The sequence below is a fragment of the Homo sapiens genome, chromosome 12 (genome assembly GCF_000001405.40).
Source record: "Homo sapiens chromosome 12, GRCh38.p14 Primary Assembly".
Lineage (NCBI taxonomy): Eukaryota > Metazoa > Chordata > Mammalia > Primates > Hominidae > Homo > Homo sapiens.
Genome location: NC_000012.12, coordinates 9615442 through 9632492, shown reverse-complemented (window position 1 = coordinate 9632492; position 17051 = coordinate 9615442). Strand labels below are relative to the sequence as shown.

Sequence of the window (17051 nt, the reverse complement as noted above, 5' to 3'; positions counted from 1 at the left end):
TGTTAGAAGGAAAACTAACAAACAGAAAGGACATCCACACCAAAACCCCATCTGTGTGTCCCCATCATCAAAGACCAAAGGTAGATAAAATCACAAAGATGGGGAGAAACAAGAGCAGAAAAGCCGAAAATTCTAAAAATCAGAGTGCCTCTTCTCCTCCAAAGGGATGCAGCTCCTCTCCAGCAATAGAACAAAGCTGGATGGAGAATTACTTTGACAAGTTGAGAGAAGAAGGCTTCAGACGATTGGTAATAACAAACTTCTCTAAGCTAAAGGAGGATGTTCGAACCCATTGCAGAGAAGCTAAAAACCTTGAAAAAAGATTAGATGAATGGCTAACTAGAATAAACAGTGTAAAGAAGACCTTAAATGACCCAATGGAGCTGAAAACCATACCACGAGAACTACATGATGCATGCACCAGCTTCAGTAGCCGATTTGATCAAGTGGAAGAAAGGGTGTCAGGGATTGAAGAGCAAATGAATGAAATGAAACAAAAAGAGAAGTTTAGAGAAAAAAGAGTAAAAAAAAATGAACAAAGCCTCCAAGAAATATGGGACTATGTGAAAAGACCAAATCTACGTCCGATTGGTATACCTGAAAGTGACGAGGAGAATGGAACCAAGTTGGAAAACACTCTTCAGGATATTATCCAGGAGAACTTCCCCAACATAGCAAGGCAGGCCAACATTCAAATTCAGGAAATACAGAGAATACCACTAAGATGCTCCTCGAGAAGAGCAACTCCAAGACACATAATTGTCAGATTCACCAAAGTTGAAATGGAGGAAAAAATGTAAGGGCAGCCAGAGAGAAAGGTCGGGTTACCCACAAAGGGAAGCCCATCAGGCTAACAGCGGATCTCTCAGCAGAAACTCTACAAGCCAGAAGACAGTGGGGGCCAATATTCAACGCTCTTAAAGAAAAGAATTTCATATCAACCCAGAATTTCAATTCCAGCGAAACTAAGCTTCATAAGTGAAGGAGAAATAAAATCCTTTACAGACAAACAAATGCTGAAAGATTTTGTCACCACCAGGCCTGTCTTACAAGAAGAGCTCCTAAAAGAAGCACTAACCATGGAAAGAAACAACCGGTACAAGCCACTGCAAAAACATGCCAAATTGTAAAGAACATCGATGCTAGGAAGAAACTGCATCAACTAACGAGCAAAATAACCAGCTAACATCATAATGACAGGATCAATTTCACACGTAACAATATTAACCTTAAACGTAAATGGGCTAAGTGCTCCAATTAAAAGACACAGACTGGCAAATTGGATAAAGAGTCAAGACCCACCAGTGTGCTGTATTCAGGTGATCCATCTCAAGTGCAGAGACACACATAGGCTCAAAATAAAGGGATGGAGGAAGATCTACCAAGGAAATGGAAAACAATTAAAAAAAGCAGGGGTTGCAATCCTAGTCTCTGATAAAGCATACTTCAAACCAACAAAGGTCAGAAGAGACAAAGAAGGCCATTACATAAAGGTAAAGCGATCAATTCAACAAGAAGAGCTAACTATCATAAATATATATGCACCCAATACAGGAGCACCCAGATTCATAAAGCAAGTCCTTAGAGACTTAAAAACAGACCTAGACTCCCACGCAATAATAATGGGAGACTTTAACACCCCACTGTCAACATTAGACAGATCAATGAGACAGAAAGTTAACAAGGATATCCAGGAATTGAACTCAGCTCTGCACCAAGCAGAACTAATAGACATCTACAGAACTCTCTACCCCAAATCAACAGAATATACATTCTTCTCAGCACCACATCACACTTATTCCAAAATTGGCCACATAGTTGGAAGTAAAGCACCCCTCAGCAAATGTAAAAGAACAGAAATTATAACAAACTGTCTCTCAGACCACAGTGCAAACTAGAACTCAGGATTAAGACACTCGCTCAACTACATGGAAACTGAACGACCTGCTCCTGAATGACTACTGGGTACACAACGAAATGAAGGCAGAAATAAAGATGTTCTTTGAAACCAATGAGAACAAAGACACAACATACCAGAATCTCTGGGACACATTTAAAGCAATGTGTAGAGGGAAATTTATAGCACTAAATGCCCACAAGAGAAAGCAGGAAAGATCTAAAACCGACACCCTAACATCACAATTAAAAGAATTAGAGAAGCAAGAGCAAACACATTCAAAAGCTAGCAGAAGGCAAGAAATAATTAAGATCAGAGCAGAACTGAAGGAGATAGAGACACAACAAAACCCTTCAAAAAATCAATGAATCCTGCAGCTGGTTTTTGAAAAGATCAACAAAATTGATAGACAGCTAGCAAGACTAATAAAGAAGAAAAGAGAGAAGAATCAAATAGATGCAATAAAAAATAATAAAGGGGATATCACCACCAAGCCCACAGAAATACAAACTACCATCAGAGAATACTATAAACACCTCTGTGCAAATAAACTAGAAAATCTAGAAGAAATGGATAAATTCCTGGACACATACACCCTCCCAAGACTAAACCAGAAAGAAGTTGAATCCATGAATAGACCAATAACAGGCTTTGAAATTGAGGCAATAATTAATAGCCTACCAACTAAAAAAACTCCAGGACCAGACGGATTCACAGCCACATTCTACCAGAGGTAAAAGAGGAGTTGGTATCATTCCTCCTGGAACTATTCCAATCAATAGAAAAAGAGAGAATCCTCCCTAACTCATTTCAGGAGGCCAGCATCATCCTGATACCAAAATCTGGCAGAGACACAACAAAAAAAGAGAATTTTAGACCAATATCCCTGATGAACATCAATGCAAAAATCCTCAATAAAATACTGGCACACCAAATCCAGCAGCACATCAAAAAGCTTATCCACCATGATCAAGTTGGCTTCATCCCCGGGATGCAGAGCTGGTTCAACATATGCAAATCGATAAACGTAATCCATCATATAAACAGAACCAAAGACAAAAACCACATGATTATCTCATTAGATGCAGAAAAGGCCTTTGACAAAATTCAACAGCCCTTCATGATAAAAACTCTCAACAAACTAGGTATTGATGGGACGTACCTCAAAATAATAAGAGCTATTTATGACAAACCCACAGCCAATATCATACTGAATGGGCAAAAACTGGAAGCATTCCCTTTGAAAACTGCCACAAGACAGGGATGCCCTCTCTCACCACTCCTATTCAACACAGTTTTGGAAGTTCTGGCCAGGGCAGTCAGGCAGGAGAAAGAAATAAAGGGTATTCAATTAGGAAAAGAGGAAGTCAAATTGTACTGGTTTGCAGATAACATGATTGTATATTTAGAAAAGCCCATTGTCTCAGCCCAAAATCTCCTTAAGCTGATAAGCAACTTCAGCAAAGTCTCAGCATACAAAATCAATGTGCAAAAATCACAAGCATTCCTATACACCAATAACAGACAAACAGAGAGCCAAATCATGATTGAACTCCCATTCAAAATTGCTTCAAAGAGAATAAAATACCCAGGAATCCAACTTACAAGGAATGTGAAGGACCTCTTCAAGGAGAACTACAAACCACTGCTCGACGAAATAAAAGAGGACGCAAACAAATGGAAGAACATTCCATGCTCAGGGATAGGAAGAATCAATATTGTGAAAATGGCCATACTGCCCAAGGTAATTTATAGATTCAATGCCATCCCCATCAAGCTACCAATGACTTTCTTCACAGAATTGGAAAAAACTACTTTAAAGTCCATATGGAACAAAGAAAGAGCCTGCATTGCCAAGTCAATCCTAACCCAAAAGAACAAAGCTGGAGGCATCACACTACCTGACTTCAAACAATACTACAAGGCAACAGTAACCAAAACAGCATGGCACTGGTACCAAAACAGAGATATGGACCAATGGAACAGAACAGAGCCCTCAGAAATAATATCACACATCTACAACCATCTGATCTTTGACAAACCTGACAAAAACAAGAAATGGTTGCCTATTTAATAAATGGTGCTGGGAAAACTGGCTAGCCATATATAGAAAGCTGAAACTGGATCCCTTCCTTACACCTTATACAAAAATTAATTCAAGATGGATTAAAGACTTAAATGTTAGACCTAAAACCATAAAATCCCTAGAAGAAAACCTAGGCAATACCATTCAGGACATAGGCATGGGCAAGGACTTCATGACTAAAACACCAAAAGCAATGGCAACAAAAGCCAAAATTGACAAATGGGATCTAATTAAACTAAAGAGCTTCTGCACAGCAAAAGAAACTACCATCAGAGTGAACAGGCAACCTACAGAATGGGAGAAAAGTTTTATAATCTACCCATCTGACAAAGGGTTAATATCCAGAATCTACAAAGAACTTAAACAAATTTACAAGAAAAAATCAAACAACCCCATCAAAAAGTGGGCAAAGGATATGAACAGACAGTTCTCAAAGGAAGACATTTATGCAGCCAACAGACACATGAAAAAATGCTCATCATCACTAGCCATCAGAGAAATGCAAATCAAAACCACAATGAGGTACCATGTCACGCCAGTTAGAATGGCGATCATTAAAAAGTCAGGAAACAACAGGTGCTGGAGAGGATGTGGAGAAATAGGAACAACTTTTACACTGTTGGTGGGACTGTAAACTAGTTCAACCATTGTGGAAGACAGTGTGGCGATTCCTCAGGGATCTAGAACTAGAATGCCATCCCATTACTCAGCATATACCCAAAGGATTATAAATCGTGCTGCTATAAAGACACATGCACACGCATGTTTATTGCGGCACTATTCACAACAGCAAAGACTTGGAACCAACCCAAATGTCCATCAATGATAGACCGGATTAAGAAAATGTGGCACATATTCACCTTGGAATACTATGCAGCCATAAAAAAGGATGAGTTCATGTCCTTTGTAGGGACATGGATGAAGCTGGAAACCATCATTCTCAGCAAACTATTGCAAGGACAGAAAATCAAACATCGCATGTGCTCACTCATAGGTTGGAATTGAACAATGAGAACACTTGGACACAGGGTGGGGAACATCATACACCGGGGCCTGTTGTGGGGTGGGGGGAGTAGGGAGGGATAGCATTAGGAGATATACCTAATGTAAATGATGAGTAAACAGGTGCAGCACACCAACATGGCACATGTATACATATGTAACAAAACTGCATATTGTGCGCATGTACCCTAGAACTTAAAGTATAATAAATAAGTATATAAAATTAAAAAAAAAAAGAGCTTACGTGTCTCCAAGACTGACATTCTCCCATTACAGGTTAAAAAAACAGCAAAATCTGAGATTTCCTAAAAGTCACTTCCTATTATTGGAGCAGAATTATACCAGGTGCTCAAATTACTTGACAGTGGAAACAGTCTTCTGGCTTTGAACTCAGAAGACAGGAAGTGTTTATCCATCGAAGAACATTTTCATTATGTGTCTATCATGAGAGCACACACTTATTTCTTAAAGATCACCGATAATTATGAAGTGAGATGTAAGTGTGTGTGAGTTTCACAATCCACTCTTTAGTGATTCAGTGAAAATGTTCTTAACTATATGACTATTTGATAACTAACAGTCATTTTACTGGTACTAGGGTATTTGGTTCTGCCATACATCTTATCTAAATTTTTAGGATGCACAGAGTCTGCCACAATTATGGAAGTGTCTCCTGGGTCATTTGCATTGAACAATTCAATATATTTATAGCATTATTCTCAAGCTTTAGTATATAATGCTTTAGTGCATATAAAGATCTCAAACTATAGTATATATAAGAATAACTTGAAAACTTGTTAATAATGCAGATTCTTGCCACATAAACCCCTTTTTCTTCCCAAAGTACAGTTAGCTAGAATGGAGAATGTGCTAAAAATTATTTCAGGTGGTTCATGGACCACACTTAAAGAAACATTCATCAAGTAAATGAAAAGTGTTGGAATATCTTAGAAAGGTCAATAGAGTGACTAGAAGTCTGATGATGTAATTAGGGGATTAAAATTGTGGTTTAGTGCACTCAAGTATAACTTCAAGTTCTGAAGCATGACTGTGACTACTAGGAATCTACAATGGCCATACCAAAAACAACTGATTTGAGGTAAGCCATTCTCTTCAAACAGATGCTTGCAAAAGCCTATAAGGTGCAAAAGTATAAACTAGTTAGAAATATCAACCAAAGAAGAGGCTTCACTTGTCCATACATGGCATGAAACATATTGATTGATCATTTTGCTTGTTACAGAGTATGAAGAGCAACAACCAATCACCTGCGCAATTTTCTTCTATCACAACAGATTCTTGTTATACAATTTTTAATGTGTGTATATACTGTATATACATATGTAATATATAATATATTATTACAATGTGCCTATAAACATATATGTTCTATCTCTCTCTATATATATACACATACATAAAACCCTCATGAAAATTCAGACCTATAATTTTTTTCTATTTATGCTAGTGAATCCATTTGATGATCTAATTATGCAAATTACACTTTACAGCAAAGCATATCAGAATTTATGAATATCTTATCATGAGAAAATATAAATAGAGAGAGAATTGTCAAAACACCCACACACATACACACACAATATAATATGAAAGCTAAAAAATTCAAAGAATTAATGAGTATATGTGATCCTAAGATTTATAATGTAGTAATAGTAGAGGTAATAATTGAGCAGCTCGAGGAACAATAAAGACAAGTTTTTGACTAGATTACCTATTTTTGACATTGAACTTTGCCAGGTCAGCAGTGGGCACTGGGGTGGGTGGACAGGAAAATACAGTAAAATAAAAACAATGTAACTGTTGAAAATGAAGAGCCACAATAGAGCCCAGAAGGTGGCCACAAAAAGAAGTGATTAAGAGGATAATTTTGTGCAAGAAGGTAAAGATACAAAAGTCAGCAAGTGTTAATCATGAGCTAAGAGAATCTACTTTAGGCTTAAAAATGAAAAAAGGAAGGGATGACATTAGCAAGAGAGCAGAATAGGAAATTATGGGACTCTCTTCCCCACAGGCCCATTGCTGTGGCAACTTTAGAGACTACTGGAGAAGCTGAAGCACCAGCCCATTATAAAACCAAGAAAGGATTCCCCCCCAGAAAAAGGATAGAAAAAATTTGTGACATTCGACACGCCCATTCATGTCCCTCCTTTATGCAATATACTGTGAAGCAACTGGGAGGAACCACCCCATACAGCGGATTCTCTCTCCTGATGAAAACAAAAAAGTGGACCATGCATCTAATGCTCTGGCTTGTCTGAGGGCTGCCTGAGGAACTGGTTTCTGTCTTCCCTGACTCACAGTGCTGGTAGGACTGGTAGTAGAGTGTGGAAGGCACTGAAGGCAAAGGCAAGCAGCATGTTAGAGTTGCAGTTTTATAGGACAACACCAAGAAAAGTAAGACATGAGAAAAGGTTTCAAAGGTCCCAGAACCTCAAACTGGGTTGATTGGTAAAGCTAAGAGAGGTGGTTGTTTTTCCAAAGGCCCAAAACCCAGAAAAAAAGTATATATATATCTCACAAGGAATACAAAGAAACAGAGAAACATGGCCCAATCAAAGGACCAAAATAAAACCTGTCCTAAAACTAAAGCAACACAGATCTAAGAGCTGCTCGACAAGGAATTTTTTAAACTGTCATAAATACACTCAATGAGCTCAAAAAGGGCACAGGTATGCAGCTAAAGGAAATAAGAAAAATGGTGCATCAACACGATGAGGTTATTAACAAATATACAAAACACTATAACAAAGAACCAAATGGAAATTATAGAGTGAAAAATACAATAACTGAACTGAAAAGCTTATTAGAGGGGTTCAATAGCAGACTTGATCAAAAAGAAGAATCAAAGGTAAATTCATGGGCAAATAGAGTAACATGTACTATCTTAATTTTGGTGCATAGATTTTAAATGATAAAATTGCACAACAAATAAGCACAATTGCTTGTTTACTGGTATACAGTATATAAACATGTAACTTGTGACATCAATAACATAAAGTGTTGCGGGGGGGCAAAGCTGCAAAGTAGTACAGTGTTTGTGTATGATTGAAGTTGTTAACAGTTTAAAATAGACTACTATAACTTTAAGATGCTTTACATAATTACCATGGTGACCACAAAGAAAATATCTATAGAAGAGAGGAAAAAAGAAAATGCAAAAAGAATCAAAGTATGTCACTCCGAAAAATCAGTGTAATACAAAGGAAGGCAGAGAAAGTGAGGGATAAAAAACTCACAGGACATGCAAAAAAATTGACAGTGCTTGCTTCAGCAGTACATAAACTAAAGTCGGAACAAGACAGAGAAGACTTGTGCGGCCCTTGAGCAAGGATGACATGCAAATTTGTGAAGTGTTTTATTTCTTAACAAAAAGCAATTAAGAAAATTACAAAGTAAATCTTAATATCAGGACATATATAGGCTAAAAGTGAAAAAATGGAAAAAAACATATTCTGGGCAAATAATAACCAAAATAGAGCAAGAGTGGCTATACTAATAGCAAACAAATAGACTTTAAATGAAAAACTTACAGAAGACAAAGATGGACAACATATAATGAAAAACATTCAATTCACCATGAATATATTACAATTATGAATACTTATGCACCAAACCTAATAGCTCCTAAATATATAAATCAAGCTTTGAAAGAATTGAAGGGAGAAAAATACAGAAACACAATTGTAGTATACTTCAATAAGTTACATTTAATAGTTGACAGAAGAACCAGACAGAAGATTAATAAGGAAATAGAAAACTTGAACAACACTATAAACCAATCGGACCCAACAGATATATACAGAACATTCCAACCAACAGCACCAGGGTATGCATTCGTTTTGAGTGCACATGGAACATTCTCCAGGATACATCACATGTTAGGTCACAAAACATGTCTTAACAAATTCAAAAAACATTTAAATCATAGAAAGTATCTTTTCCAATCCCCATATAGTGAACTAGAAATCACTAACACAAGAGAAACTGAAAAATCTACAAATATTTAGAAATTAAACAACCCTTAAATGACCAATGGGGTCACAAAACAAGTCACAATGGAAATTAGGAAATACACTGAGACAAATGAGAGTGAAAACACAACATACCAAAACTTGTGGGATGGAGCAAAAGCAATGATAAAGAAATTTTCATGATCTAACTTTACACCTTAGGAAACCAAAAAATAAGAACAAACTAAACTCAAATTTAGCAGAAGGGAAATAATAAAGATTAGAGCAGCGATAAACAAAATAAAAACTAAAAATAATGGACAAAAAACCAATAAAATTCATAAACCCTTAGCTAGATTAAAAAAAAGAGAAGATGCAAATAAATAAAATCAGAAGTGAAAAAAGAGATATTACAATTGATACCACAGAAATAAAAAGGATCATGAGAATACTGTGAACAATGGCATGCCAACAAATTGAATAACCTAAAAGAAATGTACAAATCCCTAGAAACATACAATCTAGCAAGACTGAATCATGTAGATATAAAAAATCTGAAAAGATCAATAAATAGTATGAAGATTGAATTAGTAATCAAAAATCCCCCTAAAAAGAAATCCCAGATGGCTTCGCTGGAGAATTCTACTAAACATTTACAAAAGAATTAACACCAGTTTTCCTGAAACTCTTTCATAGAATTCAAGAGGAGGGAATGCTTCTAAGTTCCTTATATCAGGCCAAAATTGCCCTAATACCAAAGTGAGGCAAAGACACTGCAAGAAAAGAAAACTACAGACCAATATCTCCGATGAATGTGAATGCAAAAATCCTCAACAAAATACTAGCAAACCAAATTAAATAGCATATTAAAAGAATCATATATGATAACCAAATGGGATTTACTCCAGGAATGCAAGGAGAGTTTAGCATATGAAAATCAATCTATGGGTGCAATGGCTCATGCCTGTGATCCCAGCACTTTGTGAGGTGGAGGTGGGTGGATTGCTTGAGCTCAAGAGTTCAAGACCAGCCTGGGCAACATGGCAAAACCCCATATGTATAAAAAAATATGAAAACTAGCCAGGCGTGGTGGTACATACTTGTAGTCCCAGCTACTCAGGAGCCTGAGGTGAGAGGATTGCTTGAGCTCAGGAGATTAAGGCTGTAGTGAGTCAAGATAGTGCCATTCCACTCCAGCCTGGGTGACAGCGTGAGACCCTGTCTCATTAAAAAAAAAAAAAAAGTAAGAAAAAAAGAAAAAAACAATGTAATATAACACATTAACAGAATAAAGGACAAAAATCACGATTATCTCAATCAGTGGAGAAATATCATTTGACAAGATTAAACACTCTTTCATGTTAAAACACTTAATAAAATGGGAAGAGAAGGCCAGTCCATGAACACAATTAAGACCATTTATAAAGAGGCCACAGATAACATCATACACAAGGATAAAAGACTGAAAGCTTTTTCTCTAATATCAGAAACAAGGCAAAGATGCTCACTCTTACTACTTCTATTCAACATAGAACTGAAAATTATAGCCAGAACAATTAAGCAATAAAAAGAAATAAAAGGCATCCAGATGGGAAAAGAAGAAGTAAATAATCTCTGTTTACAGAGGACAAAATCGTATACATAGAAAACTCTAATGATTCCATACACAATAAAAATCTGTTAGAACTAATAAATGAATTAAGCAAAGTTGCAAGGTACAAAACCAACACACAGAAATCAGTTGCATTTCTATACATGAATAATGAACAATCCAAAAAGGAAATTAAGAAAACAAATCCATTTACAATTTCACTCAAAACAATAAAAAGCTTAGGAATAAACCTAACCAAGGAGATGAGAAGCTTGTACACTGCAAACCATAAAACGTTGCTGAATGAAATTAAAGCAGACACTAATAAATGAAAGATATCCTGTGTTCATGGATTAGATAACTTAATATTGTTACATTGTTCATAATGTCCGAAGTGACCTACAGAGTCAATGCAATCCTTATCAAAATCCTTATGGGATCTTTTGGAGAAATAGAAAAATGTATCCTGAAATTCATTTGGTATATAAAAGGACTCCGAATAGTCAAAACAATTTTGAAAAAGAACAAAGTTGGAGGACTTACATTTCCTGATTTCAAAACATATTACAAATCTATGATAATCAAAGTAGTGTGGTACTAGCACAAAAACAAATAGACCAGTTGAATAGAATACACAGCCTATAAATTAAATTTTCATGCATGTGGTCAAATGATCTTTGACAAGGATGCCAAGACCACTCAGTGGGGAAAAACAGTCTCTTCAACAACTGATATTGAAAAAACTGGATATCTACATGCAAAAGAATGAAGTTGGGCCTTTATTTTACACCATTAACTCAAAATATATTAATGACTTAAACATAAAACCTAAATTTATAAAATTCCTATAAGAAAACATATAGGGAAAGCTTCATGACACTGGACTTGACAATGATTTATTGGATATGACACTAAAAACACAGGTAATGAAAGCAAAAATAGGTAAATGAGACTATATGAATCTTAAAAACTTTTGTGCAACAAAGGACACAATCAACAGAGTGAAAAGAGGCCAGGTGCAGTGGCTCAGGCCTGTAATCCCAGCACTTTGGGAGGCCAAGGTGGGCAGATCACCTGAGGTCAGGAGTTGGAGACCAGCCTGGCCAACATGGTGAAACCCTGTCTCTACTAAAGATACAAAAAATTAGCCAGGTGTGGTGGCATGTGCTTGTAATCCCAGCTACTTGGGATGCTGAGGCAGGAGAATCGCTTGAATCCGGGAAGCAGAGATTGCAGTGAGCCAAGATGGCGCCATTGCACTCCAACCTGGATGACAGGGTGAGACTCCGTCCAAGAAAACAGAGCGAAAAGGCAATGTGTGGAATAGAAGAAAAGATTTTCATTTCTAAAATTTGATAAGAGATTAATATCCAGAATATACAAAGAACTCTTATGTCTCATAAGCAAAAATCAAATGGCCTGATTAAAAAATGGGCAAAGAAATTGAATAGATGTTTCTTTCATGTAAGTTTCTTTCATGTAAGATAACATGTAAGTGGCCAACAGGAATATAAAAAGTTGCTCAACTTCACTAATCATCAGGAAAATTTAAGTCAAAACCACAATGAGAAAAAACTTCCAGTTTCCAGTTCTGCCTATAAGGTGCTTGGAAGTTGCCACTTCAGATTAAATACGAGGAAAAGTTGAACAGACTGACAAATCAACAACTCTTCTAGGATATGTAAGAGCACTGAAGAAACAGCAAATGCCTGCACCCAGGTTTGAAGAGGCAGACGGGAAAATACAGGAAGAGAAACTATCATGAGAGCAAGAGCTGGGAGAGGAAAACACGGACTATAATGGATGAGGTGCTGGAGGCACAGTGCAGGCAACTTTGAGAGTTAAAAACTCCAGGGGGACCCAGTCATATGAGGATCCCACAATTTTGTGAGATTTACCTCTGGGAACTTGACCAGGTTCTCACAGAAAATATTAGAGAAAAACCCTCTCATGCTTCTAGTAGGGGGAGAAAGGAATAATTTTAAAATATGCCAGAGCACTGTGTTCTTCTTCTTTCTTCTTCTTCTTCTTCATTTTTTTTTCTTACACTGTGTTCTTCTTAAAAAGGTTCTGCCCTCAGGAGACAATAGTAAACCAGGACCTACATTGCTGGGGCATTATTAAGAGTCTAACTGACCTAGAAGAAGCGTTATACAACTCTAGTCAGCTCTAGCCTTCCACATGGGAGAAGAGAAATATCCAACTTCAGACCACTCTAGCCATCCTTTCCCGCCTAAGTGGGATGGAAAAGAAAATAGAAACATTTGTGAAGCTCGCAGTCCAGAGGCCTCACTACAAATCTGAGATCTAGTCTTACTTCCCTCTCCCCACACCTCACCGCAATACTAAAGATCAAATTGCAGCGGTTCCTTTTTTCTTGGTATATTATCAGGCTATCAAGGGGGAAAAAAAAGCCATCTTAAAAGGCAAAAAATCAATGAAAGGACAGAGCAAGCATCAGAACCAGGCATAGAAGGGATGTTAGAATTAAAAACAAGATGAGGTATCACTTCAAACCTATTAGGATGGCTACTGTTAAACAAAATGAAATAAAACAGAAAATAAGTGTTGGTAAGGAGGCGGAGAAATTGGAAACCTTATGCATTGTTGGTGGGATTGTAAAGTGGTGCCACCACTATGAAAAATAGTGTGATGATTCCTCAGAACACTAAAAATAGAATTACCATATAACCCAGTAATCCCCCTTCTAGGTATATTAAAAGAAAGAAAGAAGGAAAGAAAAGAAAGAAAGAAAGAAAGAGAGAGAGAGAGAAAGAGAGAGAGAGAGAGAAAGAAAGAGAAAGAAAAAGAAAGAAAGAGAGAGAGAGAGAAAGAAAGAGAGAGAGAAAGAGAGAAAAAGAAAGAAAGAAAGAAAGAAAGAGAAAGAAAAAGAAAGAGAAAGAAAGAGAGAGAGAGGAGAGAGAGAGAGAAAGAAAGGAAGAAAGAAAGAGTCTCTGCTACGGTTTGAATGTGCCCCCTCCAAATTCATGTTGAAACTATCTGCATTGTGGTGGTATTAAGAGGTGAGGTCTTTGGGGAAGTGTTTGAGTCATGAGGGTTCCAGCCTCATAAATGGATTAGTGCCTTTTATAAGGGATGGAGGGAACTAGCTTTAGACCCTTTTGCGCTCTTCTGGCTTTTGCCATGTGAAGACTCAGCATTCATGCTTTTTGCATTTTTCACCCCCTCCACCATGTAAGGATGCAGCAGGAATGTCCTTGCCAGACAGCAAGTGCCAGCACATTGATCGTGGACTTTCTAGCCTCCAGAACTGTAAAAATTAAGTTTCTATTCTTAAATTACCCAGTCTTGGTATTTTGTTATACCAGCACAAATGGACTAAACCAGTCTCAAGGAGATATTTTTACACCCATGTTCGCAGCAGTACTAGTTACAGAAGCCAGAAAGTAGAAGCATGTCAAGTGTCCACTAGCAGGTGAGGGACTAAGATGTGGTATATTCATACAGTGGAATATTATTCAGCCTTAAAAAGGAAGGAAATTCTGACACATATTGCAACATGGATGAACCTTGAGAACATTATGCCAAGTGAAATAAGCCAGTTATAAAAAAGACAAATAATGGGCCGGGTGCTGTGGCTCACACCTGTAATCCCAGCACTTTGGGAAGCCGAGGTGGGCAGATCACCTGAGGTCAGGAGTTCCAGACCAGCCTGACTAACATGGTGAAACCCTGTCTCTACTAAAATTACAAAAATTAGCTGGGTGTAGTGGTGGCGCCTGTAATCCCAGCTACTTGGGAGGCTGAGGCAGGAGAATCGCTTGAACCCGAGAGGCAGAGGTTGCAGTGAGCCTAGATTGCACCACTGCACTCCAGCCTGGGTGACAGAGCAAGACTCTGTCTCAAAAAAAAAAAAAACACACAGATAATGTATGATTCCACTTACATGAAGTACCTAGGGAAGTCAAATTCATAGAGAAAAAAAGTAAAGCGGTGATTTCCAGGAGCTGAGAGGAGCAAGGAATGAGGGGTTATTGTTTAAAGGGTACACTGATTCAGTTTTGTAAGATGAAAAAAGTTCTGAAGATCTGTTTCATAACAATGTCAATAACTTAACATTAGTGAACTCTACACTTAGAAACGATTATGCTGGCACATTTTATGTTGTGTGTTTTTTTTAACCATAGTAAAAAAATACACAAGAAAAGTTGTGTCATTGGGGGAGCTCTAGTGTTCAGTGATGACAAATAAGAGAAGCATATTCTCTGAGAAGACTGAGAATGTAAGGACAGTGTTTTCAATGAAATATCCTCTCTCCCTCCATCCACAGAATTGGAAGATGGTCAATCATATCGGAAGAGTGCAGTAAGACAATGAAGATGGGAGAGTGAGTGAAAGCCTCTAAGGATTAAAGACTGTGGCTCTATCACTCCATTTATCTTCTGCCTCATCTGTTATTTACCGCCTGTGTGCACCGTAATTAGCCCATTCAAATTCAGAATTATAAACAAAATGTTTCCTGCTAAATTTAAACAGTTAAAAAGTGCTTATTGCCGCCTAAGAAAAATATTAACAAGATTAGGCGTGATTTCTGAGTTAAGACAGATGTGTTCTAACCATGGAAGGGACTCACCGTTTGGCTGTGGCTTTTCTATTTGCTTGGACTTCTCACTCATCAGAGTCCAGATGTACCAGTTAAGCTTCATTTAAGTCTCAGTTCTTCTTTCTTTCTTCTGTGTTCCTATAGATTTTACATATAAATACATTTATAATGTATTTGCAATGTGGTAATATAAATGTATGTCTATTTTTGCTAGGAAATGAAAATTTTCCCTTGAACTGTGACTTTTTGTAATGCCGGAGAACAACGACACAAATGTATATTGAAGGAAGAATGGATATGTGGTGTATTTATTGTGCTTATCCTATGCTTCCTATTTGTGCTGGAGTGTAGCTCTGGAAAACCTCCTATATTTGTTTTCTAGGGCTTCCATAATGAAATGCCACAGACTGGGTGGCTTAAATAAAAATAATTAAATAAAAAATAATTTTTTTTCAGAGTTCTAGAGTCTAGAAATCTGAGATCAGGGTGTTGGTTGAGTTAATTTCTTTTCTTTTCTTTTTTTTTTTTTTTTGATGGAGTCTCTCTCTGTCACCCATGCTGGAGTGCAGTGGCACAATCTCGGCTCACAGCAACCTCCGCCTCACAGGTTCAAGTGACTCTGCCTCAGCCTCCCAAATAGCTGGGACTATACAAGCGTGTGCCACCACGCCCGGCTAATTTTTGTATTTTTAGTAGAGACAGGGTTTCACCATGTTGGCCAGGCTTGTCTTGAACTCCCAAACTCATGATCCACCCACCTCGGCCTCCCAAAGTGCTGGGATTACAGGCATGAGCCAGGAGTTGATTTCTTTTAAGGCCTCTCTGCTTGGCTTGCAGATGGTCATCTTCTCTCTTTGTCTTCACCTGGTCTTACCTCTGTATGTATCTATGTCTTAATATCTTCTTAAGAGGAGTCCAGCCATATTTGATTAGGGCTCACCTTTAACTTATTTACCTCTTTAAGGACTCCATCTTCTAAGGGTTAAGATGTCAATATATGAATTCTGGGGAGAAGAGTAGGAACACAATTCAGCCCATAACACCTCCTAACAAATTTTCCACATTTAATCTAGGAGATTGGTAATATTTGTCCTCAAAAGATAATTTTGTGTGTGTGTGGTTGGGCATTATAACTGAATTTACCGTTACTAATGCAAGAAAATCATACAGCAAAATATATGATTTTAAAGTACCAACTGAACCTACTGATCAAGACTTGAAATACAAACTCTTTCCAATAATAAATGTACTTTCTATAACCTGTTCAATAATACATTATACTAGTATTCAGAACATTGTCAAAATTGTGATGAAAAAAGATATTGTATGAAAGTTTTTGATGTTCAAAGTTCAGAAATTTCCACTGCAAACAAAATTAGGTCAGTTGCACAGGAAATATTTACCACAAAAGTCTCTACAGAAAGATACTTTTATAAACTGTCATCAATCAGCATGTCAGCTATCAGTGGAGCTATAAGCATAAGCCTGAAGTCCATTCACTAAGATGGGGATACATATTGTTAAAGCTCAATTTTGTAATCTAAGAATTGTGTTTATTTTTAGAATAGCACAGTTCTCCCATCATTTTCGTGTTATCAAATACAAATACAAAGGTTAGGGATGGGGGATAAAGCAGCTGCTGGAAGTCAAATTCTCAGAGTATAAAGTAACATGATCTCCTTATTATGAGAGTCATGTGAGACTCTAATTCAGTCATTCAGTTACTGTTCAGAAAACATCTACTATGTTACGCTCCACATTATTTGTTGGGAGGGTTATACCAAAATGTTAAATATAAAATACAAACGCATAATAGAAACCTAGCAACGACAAAGGTAAGATACAAGCTGTGTCTTCAGAAAAAAAGGAAGTGGTAAATTCTTGCTGATTTTGCAAAGATGGTTGTGGTGTTCCGGATGGTGGTAAAAGTAAGAGAGTTT

At 37.2% G+C, this 17051-nt stretch overlaps 2 pseudogenes across 1 annotated transcript in view; one reads left to right on the top strand and one right to left on the bottom strand.

Annotated features, from left to right (window-relative positions):
• LOC374443 (C-type lectin domain family 2 member D pseudogene) overlaps positions 1-15209 on the bottom strand; it is a 41132-nt pseudogene extending 25923 nt beyond the window's left edge. The window contains exon 1 of the transcript NR_046450.1: positions 15142-15209. The product of NR_046450.1 is annotated as a C-type lectin domain family 2 member D pseudogene, transcript variant 8 (transcript). The remainder of the gene's footprint in view (positions 1-15141) is intronic.
• Positions 8265-8371, top strand: RNU6-700P (RNA, U6 small nuclear 700, pseudogene; annotated as a pseudogene).
• Positions 15210-17051: the final 1842 nt, after the last annotated feature.